General features: G+C 39.7%; 1 pseudogene, besides 2 other annotated features; it reads left to right on the plus strand.

Annotated features, from left to right (window-relative positions):
* Nucleotides 2,482-2,983: an enhancer, noted in NCBI's record as "NANOG hESC enhancer chr5:156225176-156225677 (GRCh37/hg19 assembly coordinates)". NCBI's record gives its function as "activates a minimal SCP1, AML or CMV promoter by ChIP-STARR-seq in naive H9 embryonic stem cells {active_cell/tissue: H9 hESC(naive)}" and the evidence as "EXISTENCE:reporter gene assay evidence [ECO:0000049][PMID:30033119]".
* Nucleotides 6,382-7,273: an enhancer, noted in NCBI's record as "OCT4-NANOG hESC enhancer chr5:156229076-156229967 (GRCh37/hg19 assembly coordinates)". NCBI's record gives its function as "activates a minimal SCP1, AML or CMV promoter by ChIP-STARR-seq in primed H9 embryonic stem cells {active_cell/tissue: H9 hESC(primed)}" and the evidence as "EXISTENCE:reporter gene assay evidence [ECO:0000049][PMID:30033119]".
* On the plus strand, nucleotides 18,447-18,551 carry RNU6-556P (RNA, U6 small nuclear 556, pseudogene; annotated as a pseudogene).

Consider the following 25,432-nt stretch of genomic DNA (forward strand, 5'->3'; position numbering starts at 1 on the left):
CACTCCCTGTTCTGTTGAAGAGAATCATGCTCTGGTCTGATCATTATAAAGTCTCTCACCAGGCTACCCAGCTGGACTCTGGCAGCCTGGCAAGCAGGTACTTCAGTATTAAGAAATCAGCACTTGGAAATGTTAGGATGTTATATTTGTAAAGAAGAAGAAAATGCATACTAAAGAATCAAATGAAGAATGGGTTGTGGACGAGCACGGTGGCTCACACCTGTAATCTCAGCATTTTGGGGGCCAAGATGGGCAGATCACCTGAGGTCAGCAGTTCAAGACTGGCCTGGCCAACATGGCAAAATCCCAACTCTACCAAAAATACAAAAATTAGCTGAGCGTGGTGGCACACACCTGTAATCCTAGGTACTCGGGGCTGAGGCAGGAGAATCACTCGAACCCGGGAGGCAGAGGTTGCATAGTGAGCCGAGTTCCATACCACTGCACTCCAGCCTAGCCGATAGAGTAAGACTCTACCTCAAAAAAAAAATAAAAAAAGAATTAGTTGTGTTTCTTCCCCTCAGCTATCCTCTTAGGAGGAAAGAGGAAGAAAGAAAAGAAAAATAGAGGAAGAGACAAGGAGAATGAGAGAGAGAGAGAGAGAGAGAGAGAGAGAGAGAAAATGGAAAGAGCAGACCAGATCAGCTACCATAATTCAAATGCTCCCCCAAAATCATTTGCTACATTTGTAATACAGAAGCAGCAGCACACTTCAGTGCAAAGACACTTCATTTAAAATTAATAAGAGAATGAAGACATCATATGGAAGTTAAGAAATGAATTTTAAGTCAGTTTCAATCAGGGTGTTTGTGATAGGGAGGGTCAATATCTTGAGTCTGTTTCCTCATGTGCAAAATGAAACTATAATAATCACAAAGTGAACATCAACTGTTCCTGGTCTATCCAGCATTACTGACTTGGGAATCATCTCTTCCCTAGTCTCTGTGGCTCTGGAAAAGCTGCCAGCCATAGACTTGTGCATGGGTACAAAGCCTTGCTACTGTCAGTACCCATTCTCCTGGCCACCATGATTAATACAGGGGCAGACAGTTATGCCAAGGCTGGCTAACTAGAGTCTTTCCATGGGATTTTTCAGCTTGGAGCTGCAGGAAAAGGGCCTTTGCCTTTGGGTCATATGGCTGAAAATAAGGTGCCATCATCCTAGTCACAAAGAGAAAGACTTGCTGCAGTAGAAAAAAATAAGGATTGTCAAGTAACTCTTTGAAAAAAAAAAAAAAAAAAAACAATAATGAAGACAAAGCACATATAGAAGTATAGAAGGGGAGTGTTTGAGAAAGACTGAGTGAAGAGAGAAAGGAGGCCCTGGGCAGGGCCAGGAGCCTCAGGCAACAAGCAAGCGAACAGGGGACAATAGGAGCAAGACTTCTAATAGTAGGGGGATAACTAGCAAGTAGGATGAAGTGCAAGAGCTGGAGCAAGCGCAAACTGTGGAGAGAAGATGAAAGAGGGAAGGAAAGTACAAAAGGGAATAAAAGGTTGCAAGCCAAAGAGATGGGAAAGATAATCAGGAAGATATTCGATTAAGGGAAAAGGAGTGGGTGAGGGAGAAAGGAAAGAGGGATTGAGGGATTGCAGGTTGTGGAAAACGGGAAGAAAAGAGAGACAGCAAGGAACAGAAGCAGACAGCCTGAGAGATAGAAAAGAAGGAAAGAAAAGAACAGGGAGACTGAGGAAGTAGAGAATGAGCTCAAAAATCTTCCATACATTCTCATTGCATAAAATGACTTGGAACTCTTTTCTGGCATTCCAAGTATGTAAAACTTTGATCTATATCTAACTTTTCAGCCTCATTTGTCACTATTCATACTAGCACATGCCTACTTGAGTTTTCGAGATGCATTCCTGCTTTTTCTACTTCATTGCCCCGACTCATGCTATTGTATCCTCAGTCTAGATTGTTCTCCCTGACTTCATTCCCCTTTGGACATATTGGCCAAACTTCAGTGCAAAGTTTAAACATACCACCTCCAAGAAGGCTTCTGAAATGTCCTGGTTGGAATTAATTTCTTCTCTCAAACTACCTGTTAATATTACTTTATTATGGCACTTATTTGCCTCATACATCTCTCTTAGTTTGTGAGGATTTGGAGAACAAGAGCTGTGCCTTTTTTTTTTTTTTTTTTTTTTTCTTGAGCTCCTTTGACTGAAGTTCTAAGTTCTTTACAATAGAAGTCACCTAATACATGCTGGACTTAAATACTAGCCAAGTAGCTATTGACATTGTCAAATACTGACTATTCTAATATATCATCCAAACAACTTATAGGACAAAGCTGAGTTTCTTCTTACTAGGGAAGGAAGAACACCACCTTAACAGAGTGGTGTTATATTATTAATAATACAATATTATTTATAATATTTATTTTCTTGGGCAAGCATTTCCTGTGTGGGGGTCATTGGGTCTTGGCCCCCTAAAGGTTCACTGAAAATTCACTGGCATGAGGTTGATTAATAGGAGAAAAGACATAACATGTTTATTTAATATATATACATGGTGGCCTTCAGAATGAAGACCCAATTTTCCAATGAGTTACAGAAACTTATATACCACCCTGAGACCACAGTAAAGAGTTTACACTCAGAGCAAGGCCTGAAACACGTTTAGTGGCAAGACAGGTTAGGACACAGACAAAGGGAAAGGCTTGGCTAGCAAAGGTGGCCTTGTTATGTAGATAAAGCCTCCCCTGGAAAGGGGAGGGGGCACAGAGATTCTCTACAGATACACATTTTCCCCAGTTTCAACAGCTTGGGTGTGGCTGGGGGCAGTAGGGGGGTGGTGGCAGCAGGGGCAGGAAGAGCATCAGGATAAATAGCTAGTACATGTGGGACTTAATACCTAGGTGATGGGTTGATGGGTGCAGCAAACCACCATGGCACATGTTTACCTATGGAACAAACTTGCATGTCCTGCACATGTATCCCAGAACTTAAAATACAATTAAAAAAAAAAAAAAAAAAAAAAGACAACTTTGCAAGGCCACTTCTGTTTGCTGGCCAAGTGGCAGCCATGTCAAAATATGTCAAAGAAATACATTTGTGGGCTAAAATATTTTAATTGCCTTCACTTGGAAGAGTAAATTCATAATGATGAAGACGGTAGAATAATAAAGTTACAATAATGTGAAGAGTAGTAATCTGTGTGTGGCGTGGGGGGATGGCTTATTTCTTGACATCAATAAAAATGTGCCAGCCATCAAGTTAAGAGCATTATAAAAGTGGATTTTAGAAGAAAATGAGAGGTAAAACACTCCAAAACTTCTTTTTTGCTTCATCATCCTGTGTTTTGCATTAGTCAATTGCCTTATTCTTTTAAATGGAACAAAAACAAGTAGAGCAGCATCCTGTGATTTAAACATACCCATATAGACCCTACTAGGCAATTTAAATCCACCGGTCTTTAGAATGTCAAAGATGTCCCCAAGGTTCTGGAATGTTGGAGAGGAACAAGAGAAAAGGATGAAGTATGGGGACTCCTGAGTATGCCAGGGATGCTAAATAAGCTTATTTTGCCTACCAATATTGAGTTCCTAGAGGGCTATTTTGAAAGGATTCTGAGGCCATGTCTGGACTTTGCAGAAAAGAGCAGTATGATGTCTGAAGTCTGCAAACTGCATGGGAAGGGTGGAATTTGCCCTTTCTGAGTTATTGAGTTGTGGAAAGACTATACTCATTGTTTAATTCCATTCAGACACCTTGTTTGCTTTCGTTTTCTCATTCTTCCTGGTAGAGCCACATCAATCCCAAGTAGCTACTGTGTCTTTATTGCCAAAACCTCTGAGTGGAGCCTCTGGAGGGTTCCATGAAAATACTGGTATTCTTTCAGAGATTCTTACAGTCATGTAGCATTCTTTTCTGTTTTTTTTGTTTGTTTGTTTTGTTTTGTTTTTTTAATAAAGACAGCATCTCACTTTTGTTTGTATGTTTTATAGAGACAGGGTCTCATCATGTTGCCTAGGCTGGTCTCAAACTCCTGGGCTCAAATGATCCTCCTGCCTCAGCCTCCCAAAGTACTGGGATTACAGGCATGAGCTATAGTGCCCAGGCTCACGTAGCATTCTTAAATGACAGCTAGAATAGACTCGGCTGAGGGAACTGAGGTAAATATTAGGAATATTGATTGAGATACAGAAGTAAATATAGTATCTCCATGCCCCTTGACCACTGATTGACCTTACATTTGGGATGTGACCCAAACTAGTCAAGAGAATCCTTCTTTAGGATTTTGTAATTTGAAGCTAGAGAAAGAAACTGTCTCTTTTGGGATAGCATTAGGAGACATACCTAATGTTAAATGATGAGTTAATGGGTGCAGCACACCAACATGGCACATGTATCCATACGTAACTAACCTGCACATTGTGCACATGTACCCTCAAACTTAAAGTATAATAAAAATAAAAATAAATAAATAAATAAAAATAAATAAAACAGTGTTCTGGGCCATATGAATAAAAAAAAAAAAAGAAAGAAACTGTCTCTTTTGTTTCTTGGGTTCCTAAATCGGCTTGGGTAAAGCCTAAAACTGTTGCAGCAGTGCCACTGTCCATACCTTTCCCTGTACCTGATGCAAGAATGAATCTAATCTGAAGAAGCAAAAACCGGGGCTAGCCCATATAGAGAAACATTGCACAGAAAGCAAGAGTAAGAGGGCAGGTGACTTTATGAATTTTGAGGATTGCCCTACTCACAGACTTTTCAGTTATGTGAACCAATAAATTCCTTTCGCTGAAGCCAGTGTCTGTCATTTCAAATTCAAAAAAAATCTAATTTCCTTAGGACAATACCTAATGATCAGTCTCAAATTCTAGAGACAGGCCTAACTTTGATGTTCTTCAGGAATCCTCATCTCTTCGGCAGCCTCCCACCCACTGCCATAGATTTCATAAGCTAGAAACAAAGTTTTCCATTTTACATTAGAAATGGATTTCATACCAGTCATCTGTATCTTTTGTACTGCATGGAGCCCAGATTAAAACTCACATAAATTCACAGGAGACCAAATATACCTGTTAGTGATGACTGCTGTACATCAAAGAAAATGACTGAGGCAAATCTCCATCATTGTGGAGGTTTATTTTGCCAAGGTTGAGGATGTGCCTGGGAAAAAGACACAAGCCACAGTAGAATCTGTAGCCTGTTCTTTTTCCAGAGAGGATTTTGAAGACTTCAATATTTAAAGGGGAAAAGCAAGCAGGAGGGGAAAGCGGAAAGAAAAAAAGGGGGAAGGCTATAGTCACATTCTTGTGAGGCTTTGATTTGGCTTACTTAGCCCATATGTTGCACATGAAAAGGAGGGGGTAGAAGAAACAATTATGTATTCATCTCATACTCAGTAAGTCTGAATTTTTACATAAGATAAACAGTAGAGGATGCAGTCAAATACGTATTCATCTTGGGACGGGAGGGACAATTTCTAGTCTCCCCTTGTTCCATATTTGTGAAGACAAGCTGTTCATTTACATTGTCAGTGTGAGGGGGGCCCCCTGTGGAGACACGTGGCCTTCTATCTGTAGCTATCAGTTTAGGAACAAAAGGAATGGCAGGTTTTTGGGTATTTTTGTGACTCAGCTTCCAAGCTTAACTTTTCCCTTTGGCATAGTGAATTTAGGGTCCTGATATTTTATTTTCCTTTCACACTGTATATAGATGGCTAAAATGGGAGAGAAATTACATGAAGCCATTTTGAAAGAAAAGAAAACAGAAAAATATTCATATGATTCCTAGCCACCTCTTTCAGTCTCTAGAAACATCCTAGGGAAATGACAAAATTCCAAAACAATCCTATTTTTTTGAAAAACGATTTTGGAAAAGAACAGGAAAGCCTGCTCCTCCCAGTGATGGCACTGCTTTAATTAGCCTGTAAGGGTCCTGTCTGGTCACTGCAACCCTTTTCTAATAATGCACATGTCTCATTGGCTTCCTTAGGCTAGTGTTTTGTCAGCTCTGTTTCCTGTATCCCATGAATTGTGTTGAGATGCAGCAGAGAGACTTTGTCAGGAAAAAAGGGGAATGCAATAGGACCTCTGTCCTCTTGCTGCCTTGCATCAACCAGAATCTCTCTTTTAAAAAATTATCTTTTATGTAGTGGGCTCCCAAAGAAAACTGAGGGGAAAAAGGATTGGGACTGTCTAAAAAATTTAGAAACTAGCTGCTTTAACTATATAAATAGCATAAATCCAGGTAATGCATTTTTAACCCAGATGTTGAAGGTCTTAGATAATGGAAGAAGGTACCACTGCTTTTACGTAGATGAAAGTACCTCTGGCACCATAAATTGCGTTCAGTGTATTAATCTAAAAGCATCACCCCATGTCTGCCAACCCTTTATTAGAAAATAAGATTCTGTTAATCTTGCTTTCCAGAGTATGTACCAACCGATGAGTTCTGCATTTATTAAGAAGTAAAATAAAGATTGAGACAGGGCACTAGTGATGCCTCTGGGGTTTAATCACTTGGGCTTATCATCAGTCTTATGTGAAATTCCACCTTTGAGATCAGAAGTTCAGCATGCAAATAAACCTCTATTGTTCCAACACAGAGACCTCCATACATAAGTAACATTTCAAGGCATTCTCTTTACATGTAATCGATAATACAAAAAACACCTGGGCTCGCACTCTTTGATACAAAGGAGAGGTAGAAAGAGGCTACTAGGAAACATTGGTATGACAAGCCTTTAAATACATTATGCTTTTAATAGAACTATTCCCCAATACATCAGGAACTAAAGTTATTGTGATCTTGTTAATTTTACAATTCTGTCCTTTTCCATAACCAAAAAAGGCCTTAAAAGAAAAAGACGAACCTCTAATTCGTCATCTTACTCCCCATCTTCAAAGCAGACTTTCTTTTCTCCCTTGCATTTAGATTCTATTCTTCTGCTTGAGTAGTAAGTTCAGGGAATTTTCAAAGAGACAAAAGCTACTCAAAAGAATATAAATGTCAAACACATGTAAATTTCTCCTGCTCCATTTTTCCCCAAGTCAGGAATGTCCTTTGTTGTCTCCTGGTATGTTTCAGCTGGCTGACATCTCTGGTTGAGGAGCAATCATCCGGGCAGCATCCTTACAATGTAATGACAATCAGTTACCAAAAATGTGCAGGCACTGATAACAGGATTCAGAAGGGTCAGAAACGAGTGTAAGAAAATAGATATTTTAAACAAGTGCACAGCAGCTGCTGCCGACCTTAGCTTAAGATTGCATCCAAAACGTTTATTAATTTTCTTCTCTAAAACAAAGGGAAGCCAAATGAAATCCTGATAAAGGGTCATTGTGAAGAGGGGGAGAACACTTTCCCGTTTAAATGGTATTCCTGTAGTTAAATTAAATTCTTCCAAAAACATCTTTTCTCCCACTTGTTCAGCCAAGAAGAGGGAGGTGTTAAGGAGGAGGAAAGACATATCTTCAAATTTATACCTTCTTTGAGGACGATTCTACAGTTTTTACACAGTAAAAACTAAACCAGGTACATGTAAAAAACAGATACACAAAAATATTCAAGAAACCCATTAAGAACAATACCAAGAATTTATCCCAATTGGATATCCTGTCAAAGCGATAACAAGTATGCGAACATGAAAGCAGCTGCAGCAGCTAAATTTACTGAGTGCCTACTATACTGAGGCACCCTTTTAATTCAAAATGATTCTGCAAGCTAGGTAATACCCTTCATCTTGCAGGTGAAAAATCAAAGGCTTAAATAAGTTAACTTGTTCATGGTCAAGCATTTAATATGAGGGGTCCAGGATTTAAAAGTAACTTGACTCTATAACCAGGAATAATCTTTGCGCTGTCTACTTAAAAACAAAGAGAAAAGATAAGTTGGGAAACCAGAATGGGGAGGGCTCTAGAGATCTCGTCACATGAAAGAACTTTAGCCATGTAATCTAGAGAAGAAGCTTGGCAGGCTTTATAGAAGCTGTGGGAAAATATCTGAAAGGCCACCATATGGGTGAGGAGAGACTTCCTTTTAATACATGTTTCATTAAAAACAAACAATAATTTGTAGATTGTACTTCTAGCTGTCACAGAGAAGTTTCATTCACAGTAAACTCCCCACTGAAAACAACTATAAAATCTAGGAAAAATTAACATTATAAAAAAAAACTGTTTACATTAATCAGAGAATAACTAAAGCAGCCGGGATTCAATAGATCAAGATCCTGGAGAGAAGGAAAATGTATTGAGAAAATCTCTATATTCATTATTTTTTTCCCTCCATAATGCTCTTGCCAATTTTTAGGGAAAAGCATAGAGGCCGATCAGAAATTAGCAATCAAGAGATTCTGGCAACCTCACTGAATTGGAAAAATCAAAATAAATGAGCTCAGGGCTACCCAGGAAGCTGGGATTAAACAGAAAATAAAAACATTTCTAGATAAACGTCCCTAAAAGTGTGATAATTTGTCATTAGTAGAGTTGTTACAGTAAAGGGGTCTCGATCCAGAACCCATGAGAGGGTTCTTGGATCTTGCACAAGAAAGAATTCAGGGTGAATCCATAAAGTGAAAGCAAGTTTATTAGAAAAGTAAAAGCATAAAAGAATGGCTACTCCACAGACAAAGCAGCCCTGAGGGCTGCTGGTTGCCCATTTTTATGGTTATTTCTTGAAGATATGCTAAACAAGAGGTAGATTATTCAGGATTCCCCTTTTCAGACCATATAGGATAACTTCCTGATGTTGCCATTTCATTTGTAAACTGTCATAGTGCTGGTGGGAGTGTAGCAGTGAGGATGACCAGAGGTTGCTCTCGAGGCCATCTTGGTTTTGGTGGATTTTAGCTGGCTTCTTTACAGCAAGCTGTTTTGTCAGCAAGGTCTTTACGGCCTGTATTTTGTGCCAATCTCCTATCTCATCCTGCGACTTAGAATACCTTAACCATCTGGGAATGCAGCCCAGTAGGTCTCAGCCTCATTTTACCCAGCCCCTATCTAAGATGGAGCTGCTCTGGCTTACACACCTCTGACAAAGTGACATTAGAAAACTACTAAAGGAGGTTCTTTCAGCAGAAGGAAAACGATTCCTGGTAGAAGAACACTTGCAGAAAATAAGAGTAAATACATGGATAAATTTAAATAAATGACTACTATAAGTCATCTTGTGCAAATAAATTATACACACACAAATACAGTATATTTTATATATAATTTAAACATATGACAATAACACAAAAAATGGGAGAATGGTAAATACAGTTAAAGTTTTTAAGGTTTGATTTATCCTAGAAATAGTAAAATTAAAATTTGAAGTAGTCTAGGTCAAAAATTTATCTTGTTTAGGATAGAACTAAAATATAATTTTAAAATGTATAGTTGTAAAATAAAACTTTAAAAAGAGAAGATGCTGATCACACCCAAGGCAGGAGGATTGCTTGAGCCCAGGAGTTTGAGACCAGCCCAGGCAACATGATGAGACTCTGTCTCTGCAAAAAAAAAAAAAAAAATTAACCAAGCATGGTGGTACATGCTAGTGGTCCCAGCTACTGAGGAGGCTGAAGTGGGAGGATTACTTGAACCCAGGGGATTGAGGCTGCAGTAAGCCATATCTTGCCACTGTCATCCAGCCTGGGCAACAAGCAAGACTCTTAAAAAAAAAGAGAGAGAAGACAATAGAGGAAAAAGACTAATATTAAAATATTTGATTAAAAGACTAAAAGAGCAGAAAAAATTATAACAGCTGGGACACATAGAAAGCACAGTAAGATAACAGATTTAAACCCCAATATATCAACAATTACATTAAACATAAATGGACATTAAATATCTTTTAAAAACACAAACATGGCCATATTGGTAAATAACAAAAAAAAATAACTATACCAAATGTTGTTTGCAGGAGACATATCTAATAAATAAGAACCAGAGGGGGCAAAAAAGAAGATCCTTGCAAATACAAATCGAAAGAAAGCTGCCATAGGTATACTAATATGAAACCAAGAAGATTTCAAGATGAGAAGTATTATTACCAATAAAAAGGCAGAGCTTGTAACAAAAAAAGGCTAATTTTGGTAGAACATAACTGTGTATACCCCTAATAACATAGGCTCAAGATATATAAATCACTAACTGATCAAACTAAAAGGAAAAACAAAAATATACATTTATAGGGTTGAGAACAGCTCCCATCTCAGTAACTGATAGAACAAAAAGAAAAATAAAAAGAGAAGACAGCAGAATAGGAATAGCTCCGGTCTGCAGCTCCCAGCGTGATTGACACAGAAGACAGGTGACTTCTGCATTTCCAACTGAAGTACCTGGTTCATCTCATTGGGACTGGTTGGACAGTGGGTGCAGCCCACAGAGGGCGAGCCAAAGCAGGGTGGGGCGTCACCTCACCCAGGAAGCACAAGGGGTTGGGGGATTTCCCTTTCCTAGCAAAGGGAAGCCATGACAGACTACCTGGAAAAACAGGATATTCCCGCTCAAATACTGTGCTGTTCCCAAGGTCTTAGCAACCGACAGACAAAGTGATTCTCTCTAGTGCCTGGCTAGGCAGCTCCCATACCCACAGGGCCTTGCTCACTGCTAGCGCAGCAGTCTGAGATCAATCTGCAAGATGGCAGCCTGGCTAGGGGAGGGGCCTCCACCGCTACTGAGACTTGAGTAGGTAAATAAAGCAGCCAGGAAGCTCGAACTGGGCAGAGCCCACCGCAGCTCAACAAGGCCTACTGCCTCTAGACTCCACCTCTGTGGGCAAGGCATAGCTGAACAAAAGGCAGCAAACAACTTCTGCAGACTTAAACTTCCCTGTCTGGCAGCTCTGAAGAGAGCAGTGGTTCTCCCAGCATGGCGTTTGAGCTCTGAGAACAGACAGACTGCCTCCTCAAGTGGATCCCTGAACCCTGTGTAGCCTAACTGGGAGACAACTCCCAGTAGGGGCCGACAGACACCTCATATAGGTGGCTGCCCCTCTGGGGCGAAGCTTCCAGAAGAAGGATCAGGCAGCAATATTTGCTGTTCTGAAATATTTGCTGTTCTGCAGCATCTGCTGGTGATACCCAGGCAAACAGGGTCTGGAATGGAACTCCAGCAAACTCCAACAGACCAGTAGCTGAGGGACCTGACTGTTAGAAGGAAAACTAACAAACAGAAAGGAATAGCATCAACATCAACAAAAAGGTCATCTACACCAAAACTCCATCTGTAGGTCACCAACATCAAAGACCAAAGGTAGATAAAACCACAAAGATGGGGAGAAACCAGAGAGGAAAAGCTGAAAATTCTAAAAAACCAGAGTACCTCTTCTCCTTCAAAAGATTGCAGCTCCTCGCCAGCAACGGAACAAAGCTGGATGGAGAATGACTTTGATGAGCTGACACAAGTAGACTTCAGAAGGTTGGTAATAACAAACTTCTCCGAGCTAAATGAGGATGTTCAAACCCATCGTGGGGAAGCTAAAAACCTTAAAAAAAGATTAGATGAAAGGCTAACTAGAATAAACAGCGTAAAGACCTTAAATGACCTGATGGAGCTGAAAAACACAGCACGAGAACTTCATGACGCATGCACAAGATTCAATAGCCGATTCGATCAAGTAGAAGAAAGGGTATCAGTGATTGAAGATCAAATTAATGAAATACAGCAAGAAAACAAGGTAAGAGAAAAAAGAATAAAAAGAAATGAACAAAGCCTCCAAGAAATATGGGACTATGTGAAAAGACCAAACCTACATTTGATTGGTGTACCTGAAAGTGATGGGAGAATGGAACCAAGTTTGAAAACACTCTTCAGGATACTGTCCAGGAGAACATCCCCAGCATCACAAGGCAGGCCAACATTCAAATTCAGGAAATACAGAGAACACCACAAAGATACTCCTTAAGAAGAGCAACCCCAAGACACATAATCGTCAGATTCACCAAGGTTGAAATGAAGAAAAAAGTGTTAAGGCAGCCAGAGAGAAAGGTCGAGTTACCCACAAACGGAAGCCCATCAGACTAACAGCAGATCTCTCAGCAGAAACCCCACAAGCCAGAAGACAGTGGGGGCCAATATTCAACATCCTTAAAGAAAAGAATTTTTGCCAGGCGCGGTGGCTTACGCCTGTAATCCCAGCAATTTGGGAGGCCAAGGTGGGCGGATCATGAGGTCAGGAGATCGAGACCATCCTGGCTAACACGGTGAAACCCTGTCTCTACTAAAAATACAAAAAGAAAATTAGCCGGGCATGGTGGCGGGCACCTGTAGTCCAAGCTACTTGGGAGGCTGAGGCAGGAGAATGGCGTGAATCCAGGAGGTGGAGCTTTCAGTGAGCTGAGATTGCACCACTACACTGCAGCCTGGGAGACAGAGCGAGACTCCGTCTCAAAAAAAGAAAAGAATTTTCAACCCAGAATTTCATATCCAGACAAACTAAGCTTCATAAGTGAAGGAAAAATAAAATCCTTTACAGACAAGCAAATGCTGAGAGATTTTGTCACCACCAGGCCTGCCTTACAAGAGCTCCTGAAGGAAGCACTAAACATGGAAAGAAACAACCCATACCAGCCACTGCAAAAACATGGCAAATTGTAAAGACCATCGATGCTATGAAGAAACTGCATCAATTAATGGGCAAAATAACCAGCGAACATCATAATGACAGGATCAAATTCACACATAACAATATTAACCTTAAATGTAAATGGGCTAAATGCCCCAATTAAAAGACACAGACTGGCAAATTGGAGAAAGAGTCAAGACCCATCTGTGTGCTGTATTCAGGAGACCCATCTCACGTGCAGAGACACACGTAGGCTCAAAATAAAGGGATGGAGGAAGATCCACCAAGCAAATGGAAAGCAAAAAAAGCAGGGGTTGCAATCCTAGTCTCTGATAAAACAGACTTTAAACCACCAAAGATCAAGAGACAAACAAGGCCATTACATAATGGTAAAGTGATCAAGTCAACAAGAAGAGCTAACTATCCTAAATATATATGCACCCAATACAGGAGCACCCAGATTCATAAAGCAAGTCCTTAGAGACCTACAAAGGGACTTAGACTCCCACACAATAATTATAGGAGACTTTAACACCCCACTGTCAATATTAGACAGATCAAGGAGACAGAAGGTTAACAAGGATACACAGGACCTGAACTCAGCTCTGCAACAAGCAGACCTAATAGAAATCTACAGAACTCTCCACCCCAAATCAACAGAATATACACTCTTCTCAGCACCACATCACACTTATTCTAAAATTGACCACATAATTGGAAGTAAAGCACTCCTCAGCAAATGTAAAATAATAGAAATCACAACAAACTGTCTCTCAGACCACAGTGCAATCAAATTAGAACTCAGGATTAAGAAATTCACTCAAAACGGTACAACTACATGGAAACTGAACACCTTGTTCCTGAATGACTACTGGGTAAATAACGAAATGAAGGCAGAAATAAAAGATGTTCTTTGAAACCAATGAGAACAAAGACACAACGTACCAGAATCTCTGGGGCACATTTAAAGTAGTGTGTAGAGGGAAATTTATAGCACTAAATGCCCACAAGAGAAAACAGGAAAGATCTAAAATTGACACCCTAACATCACAATTAAAAGAACTAGAGAAGCAAGAGCAAACACATTCAAAAGCTAGCAGAAGGCAAGAAATAACTAAGATCAGAACAGAACTGAAAGAGAGGGAGACACAAAAAACCCTTCAAAAAAATCAATGAATCTAGGAGCTGTTTTTTTGAAAAGATCAATGAAATTGATAGACTGTTAGCAAGACTAATAAAGAAGAAAAGAGAGAAGAATAGATGCAATAAATGATAAAGGGGTATCACCACCAATCCCACAGAAATACAAACTACCATCAGAGAATTCTATAAATGCTTCTATGCAAATAAACTAGAAAATCTAGAAGAAATGAATAAATTCCTGGACACATACACCTTCCCAAGACTAAACCAGGAAGAAGTTGAATCTCTGAATAGACCAATAACAGGCTCTGAAACTGAGGCAACAATTAATAGCCTACCAACCAAAAAAACTCCAGGACCAGATGGATTCACAGCCAAATTCTACCAGAGGTACAAAGAGGAACTGGTACCATTCCTTCTGAAACTATTCCAGTGAACAGAAAAAGAGGGAATCTTCTCTAACTCATTTTATGAGGCCAACATCATCCTGATACCAAAGCCTGGCAGAGACACAACAAAAAAAGAGAATTTTAGATGAATATCCCTGATGAACATGGATGTGGAAATCCTCAATAAAATACTGGCAAACCAAATCCAGCAGCACATCAAAAAGCTTATCCACCATGATCAAGTGGGCTTCATCCCTGGGATGCAGGGCTGGTTCAACATACCCAAATCAATAAATATAATCCATCACATAAAAAGAACCAATGACAAAAACCAAATGATTATCTCAATAGATGCAGGAAAGGCATTCAACAAAATTCAACAGTACTTCATGCTAGAAACTCTCAATAGGCCAGGCGTGGTGGCTCATGCTTGTAATCCCAGCACTTTGGGAGGCCAAGGCAGGCAAATCACGAGGTCAGGAGTTTGAAACAATCCTGGCTAAAACGGTGAAACCCCTTCTATACCAAAAATACAAAATATTAGCCGGGCACGGTGGCGGGCAACTGTAGTCCCAGCTACTTGGGAGGCTGATGCAGGAGAATGGTGTGAACCCAGGAGGCGGAGCTTACGGTGAGCTGAGATTGCACCACTGCACTCCAGCCTGGGTGACAGAGTGAGACTCCATCTCAAAAAAAAAAAACCTCTCAATAAACTAGGTATTGATGGAATGTATCTCAAAATAATAAGAGTTATTTTTTACAAACTCACAGCCAATATCATACTGAATGGGCAAAAACTGGAAGCATTCCCTTTGAAAACTGGCACAAAATTGGGATGCCCTCTCTCACCACTCCTATTCAACATAGTGCTGGAAGTTCTGGCCAAGGCAATCAGGCAGGAGAAAGAAATAAAGGGTATTCAATTAGGAAAAGAGGAAGTCAAATTGTCCCTGTTTGCAGATGACATGATTGTATACTTAGAAAACCCCATCGTCTCAGCCCAAAATCCCCCTAAGCTGATAAGCAACTTCAGCAAAGTCTCAGGATACAAAATCAATGTGCAAAAATCACAAGCATTCCTATACACCATTAACAGACAAACAGAGAGCCAAACCGTGAGTGAACTCCCATTCACAATTGCTCCAAAGAGAATAAAATACCTAAGAAAGCAACTTACAAGGGATGTGAAGGACCTCTTCAAGGAGAACTACAAACCACTGCTCAATGAAATAAAATAGGACACAAACAAACGGAAGAATATTCCATGCTCATGGATAGGAAGAAGCAATATCATGAAAATGTCCATAGTACCTAACGTAATTTATAGATTCAATGCCATCCCCATTAAGCTACCAATGACTTTCTTCACAGAATTGGAAAAAACTACTTTAAAGTTCATAGGGAACTAAAATAGAGCCCGCATTGCCAAGATAATCCTAAGCAAAAAGAACAAAGCTGGAGGCATTATGCTACCTGACTTCAAACTATACTTCAAGGCTACAGTAGCCAAAACAGCATGGTACTGGTACCAAAACAGAGAGATAGACCAATGTAACAGAATAGAGGCCACGGAAATAACACCACACATCTACAACCATCTGATCTTTGACAAACCTGACAAAAACAAGAAATGGGGAAAGGATTCCCTATTTTATTAATGGTGCTGGGAAAACTGGCTAGCTATAGTAGAAAGCTGAAACTGGATCCCTTCCTTACACCTTATACAAAAATTAATTCAAGATGGATTAAAGACTTAAATGTTAGACCTAAAACCATAAAAACCCTAGAAGAAAACCTAGGCATTACCATTCAGCACATAGGCTTGGGCAAGGACTTCATGACTGAAACACCGAAAGCAATGGCAACAAAAGCCAAAATAGACAAATGCGATCTAATTAAACTAAGAGCTTCTGCACAGCAAAAGAAACTACCATCAGAGTGAACAGGCAACCTACAGAATGGGAGAAAATGTTTGCAATCTACCCATCTGACAAAGGGCTAATATCCAGAATCTACAAAGAAGTCAAACAAATTTACAAGAAAAAAACAAACAACCCCATCAAAAAGTGGGCAAAGGATATGAACAGACATTTTTCAAAAGAAGACATTTATACAGCCAGGAGACACATGAAAAAATGCTCATCATCACTGGTCATCAGAGAAATGCAAATCAAAACCACAATGAGATACTATCTCACCCCCGTTAGAATGGCGATCATTAAAAAGTCAGGAAACAACAGATGCTGGAGAGGACATGGAGAAATAGGAACCCTTTTACACTGTTGGTGGGAGTGTAAATTTGTTCAACCATTGTGGAAGACAGTGTGGTGATTCCTCAAAGATCCAGAACTAGAAATACCATTTGACCCAGGAATCCCATTACTGGGTATCTACCCAAAGGATTATAAATCATGCTACTATAAAGACACATGCACATGTGTGTTTATTGCAACTTAAAACCTAGATGACAGGTTGATAGGCACAGCAAACCACCATGGCACATGTATACCTATGTAACAAAACCTGCACATTCTGCACATGTATCCCAGAACTTAAAGTATAATTGTTTAAAAAATTATATATATATATATTTAAAAGTTAAAAAATAAAATAGAAGACAGTATTAGCAATAGCAAAGAAAATAGCAAAAAAAAAAACAAACAAAAACCCAAATGTCCATCAATGATAGAGTGGATTAAGAAAATGTGGCACATATACACTGTGGAATACTATGCAGCCACATAAAAGGATGAGTTCATGTCCTTTGCAGGGACATGGATGAAGCTGGAAACCATCATTCTCAGCAAATTATACAAGGACAGAAAACCAAAGGCTGCATGTTCTCACTCATCGGTGGGAACTGAACAATGAGATCACTTGGACACAGGGTGGGGAACATCACATACTGGGGCCTGTCGGGGGTTAGGGGGCTAGGGGAGGGATAACATTAGGAGAAACACCTAATGTAAATGAGTTTATGGGTGCAGCAAACCAACCTGGCACATGTATACCTATGTATCAAACCTGCACAGTGTGCACATGTACCCTAGAACCTAAAGTATAATAATAAAAAAAATTTAATAAAGAAAAAAAGAAAAATAAAAAGATGTATTTTTGAACAATCCAATTAACCAATTTGCCCTAACTGGTATGTATATAGAACACTATACCAAACAGCTGCAGAACACACATTCTTTTCAAATGCACATGATACATTTACCAAAATGGGCCATGAAGCCAGAATCAGTACTCTGACCATAGTGGAACTAAGTTAGAAATCAGTAACCAAGAGATAAACAGAAAATCACCAAATGTTTATAAATTAAGGAATTGTTTTCTAAATTACCCTGAAGTCAGAGAAGAAATAACAGAGCAAATTAGAAAATATTTTGAACTGAGTATAGCTATCAGAATTTGTGCAATGTAGATAAAATAGTGCTGACAGAGAAATTTATAAAATCAAACACACACTTTGGAAAAAAACTGAAAAAATTATTTAATAATCTCCTAAAAAGCTAAAAAAGTACAATAAATTACATGCGAAAAAGTAGAAGGAAATGTTAAAGAGGAAAAAAATAAAAAACATACAATTTAAAAATTGGTATTTTTGGAGATTAATAAAACAGATAAACACCTATCAAGATTCATTAAAAGAAATGTGAGAAAACTATACTTAAAATTTTCAGAAATTAAAAAGGGACATCATTAGAGATCTTAAAATATTTAAAAGTTAAGAACTTCCAGCCTTCAGATAATATGTAGAAGGTCTTGATGGACCATTTCTCCCACTAGATAAACCACAAAAATTACTGGATCAGCTTGCCCATCTCCCCCATATTTAAGAGATTGGAGGGTTGCAGATCAAAAATGATCCAAAATTCAATTACAGGGGAGGATAAGGTATTTCTAGCTGAGCAGGTATCAGTGGCGAAATTCTCTTCTGCTGAATTTCCACAGGGGCTGGTGGAAGACTGGGCTTATCACAGTCTCTGGAACTCTGCTATGATACAGGAAAGCCTGCAGACCTTGTGGGCTAGTATAAATGGATTGAAGTCTGTAGGAGTTTCAAATGCAAAGAACTTGTTCTTCTTACCTGCTGAGTTTTCCCCCATGAAACTTTTGGTGAGTGTGTGGAAATGGTATGAAAATGGAACTGGAAAAGCAGAGAGAGAGAACTCTGTAGTCTTCTGGTGATTAGATCCCAAGGTCCTACTAGAGAGAGTAGTTTATAATATATACAGTACAGACCCAGTTAGCCCTAAATACATGTGAAAACACAGGTGAAATAAAGCTTACTAAAGCTGTATCCCAGCCACAAATCAGCTCAAATTCTTTCTGGATTATAAAGATTGACCCATTTCCCTAACTTACAGACAAAAGAACACACCCTCCCTTTTAGAAGATAGTATTGTGCTCACTTTGGCAGCACATATACTAAAATTTGAACAAGACACAGAAGATTACCATGGCCCCTGCACAAGGATGACACAAACTCATGAAGCCTTTCATATTTTAAAAATAGAGTTCATGTCCTTTGCAGGGACATGGATGAAGCTGGAAGCCATCATTCTCAGCAAACTAACACAGGAACAGAAAACCAAACACCGCATGTTCTCACTCATAAGTGGGAGTTGAACAATGAGAACACATGGACACAGAGATGGGAACATCATAGACCAGGGCCTATCGCCAGGGGGTTGGAGGCAAGGGGAGGGAGAGCATTAGGACAAATACCTAATGCGTGCAGGGCTTAAAACCTAGATGACGGGTTCATAGGCACAGCAAACTACCATGGCACATGTATACCTATGTAACAAACCTGTACATTCTACACATGTATCCCAGAACTTAAAGTATAATTTTTTAAAAAATTATATATATATATATATTTAAAAGTTAAAAAAGAATAAGATAGAAGACAGTATTTATACCAAGGGCTGTAGGGTTTTATTTTTAATTATACAATTTCTGGCAGGCAATAAACAGCTATGAAATAAGTGAAGAAGCGGGATGTACTCCTAATTAAAAGGAAAAAAAACTGAACAGTAGCAGATCCACTAATGGTTCAAATATCGGAATAAGCAAAGACTTTAAAATAACTATTGAAATATATTAAAGAAATTTGAGGATAAGATTGACAAAATGGATAAAAAGAATGACAATTTCAAAAGATAAAACTGCTAAAATAGAACAAAGTGAAAATTCCAGAACTGAAAAAAAAAATCTACTGTGCATGAAATTAAAAATGTATTTATAGAGCTAAAGCAGAATGGACACAGCAGAGAAAACAGCATCAGTCATTTTATCCAGGTCATCACAAACTGGTTGAAAATCAAAAATATAGGAAAAATTTTAAGATGCACACATAAAATAAATTATTAAATGTAGACATAGAAAATAGATTATATTTAGCAGAACAACAATGAAAATCATGGCTGACTTTCATCAGAAAACAATGGGTGACAGCTGGGTATAATGGTGTGCACCTGTAGTTCCAGCTACCTGGGAGGCTGAGGCAGGAGAATTGCTTGAGCTGAAGAATTCACGTCCAGTCTGAGCAACATAGCAAGATCCTGTCTCAAAAAAAAAAAAAAAAAAGAGAGAAACAATAGAAGACAAAAGACAATGGAATTGACATCTTCAAAGTGCTGAAAGAAAGAAAAACAGAATTCTATAAATGAAGTGCATATAGAGATGTTTAAAAAAACAAAAGGTGAGAAAATATGTCACCAGCTTTTGAAGCTAAAAGAAAATAACTCAAGATGAAAGCAAAGATCTGCAGGAAGGAATGAACAATGTCAAAAAAGGTCAAATATGTGCATAAACATAAAAGAATACTTTAAATTTTCAAAATTATTGACTATTAGAAACCACAGGCCAGGCACAGTGGCTCACACCTGTAATCTTATCATTTTAGGAGGTCGACGCAGGTGGATTGCTTGAGCTCAGTAGTTCAAGATCAGCCTGAGAAACATGGTGAAACCCCATCTGTATGAAAAATACAAAAATTAACTGGGTGTGGTGGTGCACACCTGTAGTCCGAGCTACTCAGGATGCTGAGGTGAGAGGATGGCTTGAGCCTGGGAGATGGAGGTTGCAGTGAGCTGAGATTGTGCCAGTGCACTCCAGCTTGGGCAACAGAGCAAGAACCTGTCTCAAAACAAAAAAACAAAAACAAAAACAAACAAAAAAGCCAAAGCAAAACACAATAAAGTTTAGTGGTTTATAATATAGACAGAAATAAAATATGTGACATCAATAGCACAACGAACTAGAGAGAGATTAGTGGAATTTTTTGTGCAAAGTTTTTACATTGTTTGCAAAGAAGCGAAATACTAATTGATTCTTGTGATAAATTGGGGTGTTAAGTTGAGGATGCATACAGTAATCACTACAGCAGTTGTTTTCAACCTTTGGTAATTCCCCTACCCAGGCCCCAGCCAAGGAACCCTGTCACAACTGGAGTGGGAGGACAGTTGCTACTGCCATCTGCTGGGAAGAGGCTTTGTTTTTATGAAAATTTTGTAGATGAGGAAACAGACTCCTAGAAGTTAAGTAAGTTTCTCTAACACTACCTTTGATAAGGTGAATAGTGGCTCCCCAAAGATGTCCCCGTTCTAATCCCCAGAATCTGTGAATATGTTACATCACATGGGTAAACGGTTTGCAGATGTGTTAAGGATCTCGAGATGGGAAGATTATTCTGGATTATCCTAGTGCGTCAAATGTAATCACAAGAGCTTTTATAAGAGGAAGGCGGTTGGGTCAGAGTCAGAGAAGACACATTATGATGAAAGAAGAGGTGACAGAAGGAAGGGGGATAGGTAGACAGACTGAGAATGAATGAAAATGCTACATTTCCAGCTTTGAAGATGGAGGAAGGCACCTTAAGCCAAGGGATGGAGGCACCGTCTAGAAGCTGGAAAAGGTAAGGAAATGGATTTTTCCCTAGAGCCTCATGAGGTAGCACAGCCCTGCTGATACCTTGACCTCAGCCCATTAAAAACCATTTCAGACTTTTGACACAAAGAACTGTAAGGTAATAAAACTGTATTTTCAAACCACTAAGTTTATGATAATTCATTATAGCAGTAATGGGAAATTAGTATAGATATCCAACTAGGATTTGCTTCTAGATTTTTCAGTCTATGCCTTTAATCACAAGATGGACATAGCTACCATAATGGGAAGAAAAGCTAAAGCATTTTTCAGAATGTTTTTGCCCTGCAGATATCTCTGATATTGCCTAACTGATCATGGTGTTCCTAAAATTGAAATAGACAGGCAACCTACTAAAGCCTTATTTGATTTGTGGAAGTGTTACCTACAGTGGAAAGAATCCAGCAACCAACAGACTCCTCATAACATGAGAGCTTCCTAAATAATCTTAAATTTAAAATATATATACACATATATGTGTATATATACATGTATATATATACATGTATATAGATGTATATATACATATACGTATATTTATGTGTGTGTGTATATATACACACACACGTGTCAAAAGAAAAACTTCAGCCGAGTTAAATTTAAAGGAGTTTAATTGAGCAATGAATGATTTGCAAATCGGGCAGCCCCCAGAATCACCGAAGATTCAGAGAGACTCCAGTGCAGCCACATGGTGGAAGATTTATGGACAGCAAAAGGAAAGTGATATACAGAAAATGGAAGTGAGATACAGAAACAACTGGTTTGGTTACAGCTCCGTGTTTGCCTTGTTTGAACATGGTTCAAATAACGTTGGCTACATTTGATTGGCTGAAACTCAGCGATTGGTACAGTTGTGTGTTATGGTTGGTTTATACCTCCACTTGTTATAGTTCATGACGTACAGAAAAATCTTTAGGCTGAACTTAAATATGTAAGGAGGCAGCTTTAGGCTAAACTTGATTTAATACATGCATACATGTACAAATATACATACGTGCATGTATATATATGATATACACATATTCTATGGATATTTATATAGATAGGCTTACAGATATTCACATATATATGTGTGTATGTAGTGTGTGTGTGTGTTTCCGTGTATATGAGCAAAATGTCTTGAAAAAATACAGAAACTGTTTAGAAAGTTACATCCGAGAAGGGGAACTGAGATCCTAGAGGATAAAGGTGGGAGTTTATTGTTTTGGTTAGATATCCTTTTGTACTTTTTAAATGTTGACCCATGTAAGTATATCGCTGATTTTTTTTTTAAATACACACATAAAATTTAAAAAAAATAAAGAATTCTATTATACTATTGGGGCTAAAATGATACCCCAAAATGAAAGCTTCAGAAGCAGCCCAGAAGCTTCTCTTCCAAAAGTTTCTCTCTGACGTTCTCTTGGCCTGCTATCTCTGACCCCTCAATTCTATCCTGAGGCTAGCAATAGAAGCTAGAATCTCTCCTCCCCCAAGGTGGATCAAAAAACCAGAACCACTTTTCCCCAAAGCCAGCCATAGGACCTAAAAATATTGCTCAAACTTTTCCCCCACCTTTCTGTGTAATAATTGACCATACAGAAATTATCTGATCTATCTTGTTTGATTATAGATTGTAAGACCTCCATTCCAGAGAGTGTCCTGCCCCATACTGAGAAGGAAGGAATGCTGCTCAGAGAGGCCAAGAAGAATCTAGACAGACAGGCCTTGCTCGGTTTCCCCACTCCGTCTATTAGCATTAGATCTCACACTTTTTGTTCAATCCTATTTCCACACGGCCGTCCATAGTTTGTTGAACCTAAGCATAAAAATGGACAATTTCCCCTGTATCTTTGGGTCTTCATTCTTTAGGCTCCCATGCACATTAATTCATTTGTATGCCTTTTTTTCCATGAATCTGCCTTTCGTTGGTTGATTATCAGCGAACCTTTGGAGGGCGAAGAAGTTTGCCCTTTGCCTTTGTAATACCTCCATCAGCAAGAGCCAAGAGAGATTCCATGTGTTTTTCCCCAAGACCCTCAACCATTTCCCCAACCCAACCTTCACTGCCTTTCCTTCACTCTCTGCCTTGAGACAGTGAGGCCTAATCACTCTATGCCTTTCATTCCTGTTTCCAGAGGAAGCTCAGACCCTAGGGGAGCCCCCATTTTCCATGGCTCTCTGCACCAGTATAATACCTTCCCCTGCCTCCTCACCTTCCTTCCTTGCTTTATCTTCTCCATAGCATTGACCACTAATCTGGTATTCTATACCTTACTTCCTTATCTGGATCATCACCTGTATCCCTCTAATACAAACTGAGCTCTATCAGGGCAAGGATTCTTGTCTGCCTTGTTCACTCCTGTAGCCAAAGCAGGAGTAAGAGTGCCTGGACATACTAGGCTCCCAATGAACACTTAATAACAGAGGAAGAGAGGCAGTGAGTGATCATTGAGTACTACGCTGGGAACCACAGCTTTGCTGGCACTAAAATGAAGAAGAGATGAACAGAGGGAGGTGTATTTCCTATGGCCACCCATCCATCTGCCTGGCAGGGACTAGGTGGAAAGAAGAAACTGCTGTCAAGGCATGTCCCGTTATATGTCAGATCCCTCCACACACTACCACCTTGCAGCAAGAAAAACGCCTGGAAGCCAACTAGACAAGTGGCAGGGTTTGAAGGATAAGAGCCCCTATGGCTGGGAAACTGCTGATGTGAGAAAGAAAGCATAATTATACTCACATTTGCAACAGGTAATGGAGCACCATGAGCAACTTAAATACTGACATTTTATTATAGCCTTAAGAGAGAACATAAAAACCTTCAGAAAGAATAACTAAATGTGGCATTTGGTATTTGCCACATCATTTGTGTTAATCATAGAACATTTCTCAGGGGAGGAGCCCCTAACATTTCTTATATGTAAATATATACTTCATATATAAGTGTCTTTATGAGAATATCATCTGTGAAAAGCAAATCATCCAACAAATATTTACTGAGCAGTCTTCTGTGCACCAGGCACTGTGCTAGTCCCTGGGAAAATGACTCACAATAAGATGATGCCCTTATGAAACTTACGTTCTAATAAAGAAGCCCAGCACTAAACAAGACACCCAAACCACAAAGACAGTCATTTCAGACAGTGACTTGTGATGCAAAAGAAACAAATTTGGGGGTCTGGAGATTCCTACTTGAGGATGGGCATGGAGGAAGGCAGAGCAGACACCACTGGGGCCTCCTTGTCCCTCTGACGTCCCTTGGCCATGCACGGCAGCTGCTTGCTCCTCACAATGTGATCCTCAGAACATCAGCAAGGGCATCATCTGGGAGCTTCTAAGAGCCGCAGCATCTCAGGCCTCCTAACAGAACTCTTTAACCAATCTGCATTTTAACAAGATCCCCAGGGTTTGTGAGCACACTAAAGTTTGAAAACTACTCTTCAGGACTGTTTCTAACTGCCCGTATTTGCATATTCCCACTGCTCTTTCTGCATAACGAGGAGCAATCAGAAGTGCTCTCTCCCTCCCCAAGGATCCAGTACCAGTGGAGGGGGTATGTAAATGTTCAAGTCCCTCAGCACTCATAGGGGTAACCCAGAGGCAGCATTTTATGCCTTTCCCAGAGCTTCCCACAGGATGAAGCTTGGTGGCCTGCGGTGGTGGCTGGTGCCTCTTGCCACTGATTTCCCCTGCTACTGCCTTCTGTGCCTCCCAAGCCACCTGCTGCCATCTGCTTGCTTGTCTCAGGGTGCTCCGAGGGGAACGTGAGTAAGACAGGGGCCTCTCTGAAGATGTGAGCTGAGAACTGAAGAATGAAAGAAGCCACCTGGTGAAGAGCTAGGAGAGGGAACAGTCAGTGGAAAGGCGCTGAGGCTGGGAAAAACTGCAGTGCTCAAGGACCAGAATGGAGATCAGAGGCAGGAGCACAGTGGGGAGTCCTGTTGGGGGTGGATACAGAAGTGCAAGAGTAGAGAAGGGAAGAGTAGACATTGATTGCACTAATGCAGTGAGGTGATTGTGGCTTAGACATGTCAGTTGGGAGCACAAGGACCAGAGGCAGGTGGAAGAATGTTGACCTGTTGTAAAGCCAGAGGTGAAAAACAAACTGTGCAAAATATTCACACACACTCAGCAAGCTTTGGATGACTGCGTAAAATTAAACAAACCCTCCAGTCGTACCTGTCTCTATACTAGGGATGCATAAGCTAATGGCTACACCCCAAAAGTCTGTTCCTTAGGTTAAAATGCCCAGCACTCAGTAACATTTCCTTCTCTAAAAATCTAGAAAATGTTCGAAGAGAAGTTAACTGTTAGGGCTCAGAAAACAACACTTCAAAATGAAGGCCCCAGAAGTAAAAGGTTTTCTTCTGACCTTCTTCTGCTCTTCTGTCTCTCAGTCCCATTCTCCCCTGAGGCTAGCCATAGGCACTAGAATCCCTCTTCCCAAGGCTGGTCATAGAAACCAGAACCCTCTT

Source organism: Homo sapiens, chromosome 5, assembly GCF_000001405.40.
Source record: "Homo sapiens chromosome 5, GRCh38.p14 Primary Assembly".
NCBI lineage: Eukaryota > Metazoa > Chordata > Mammalia > Primates > Hominidae > Homo > Homo sapiens.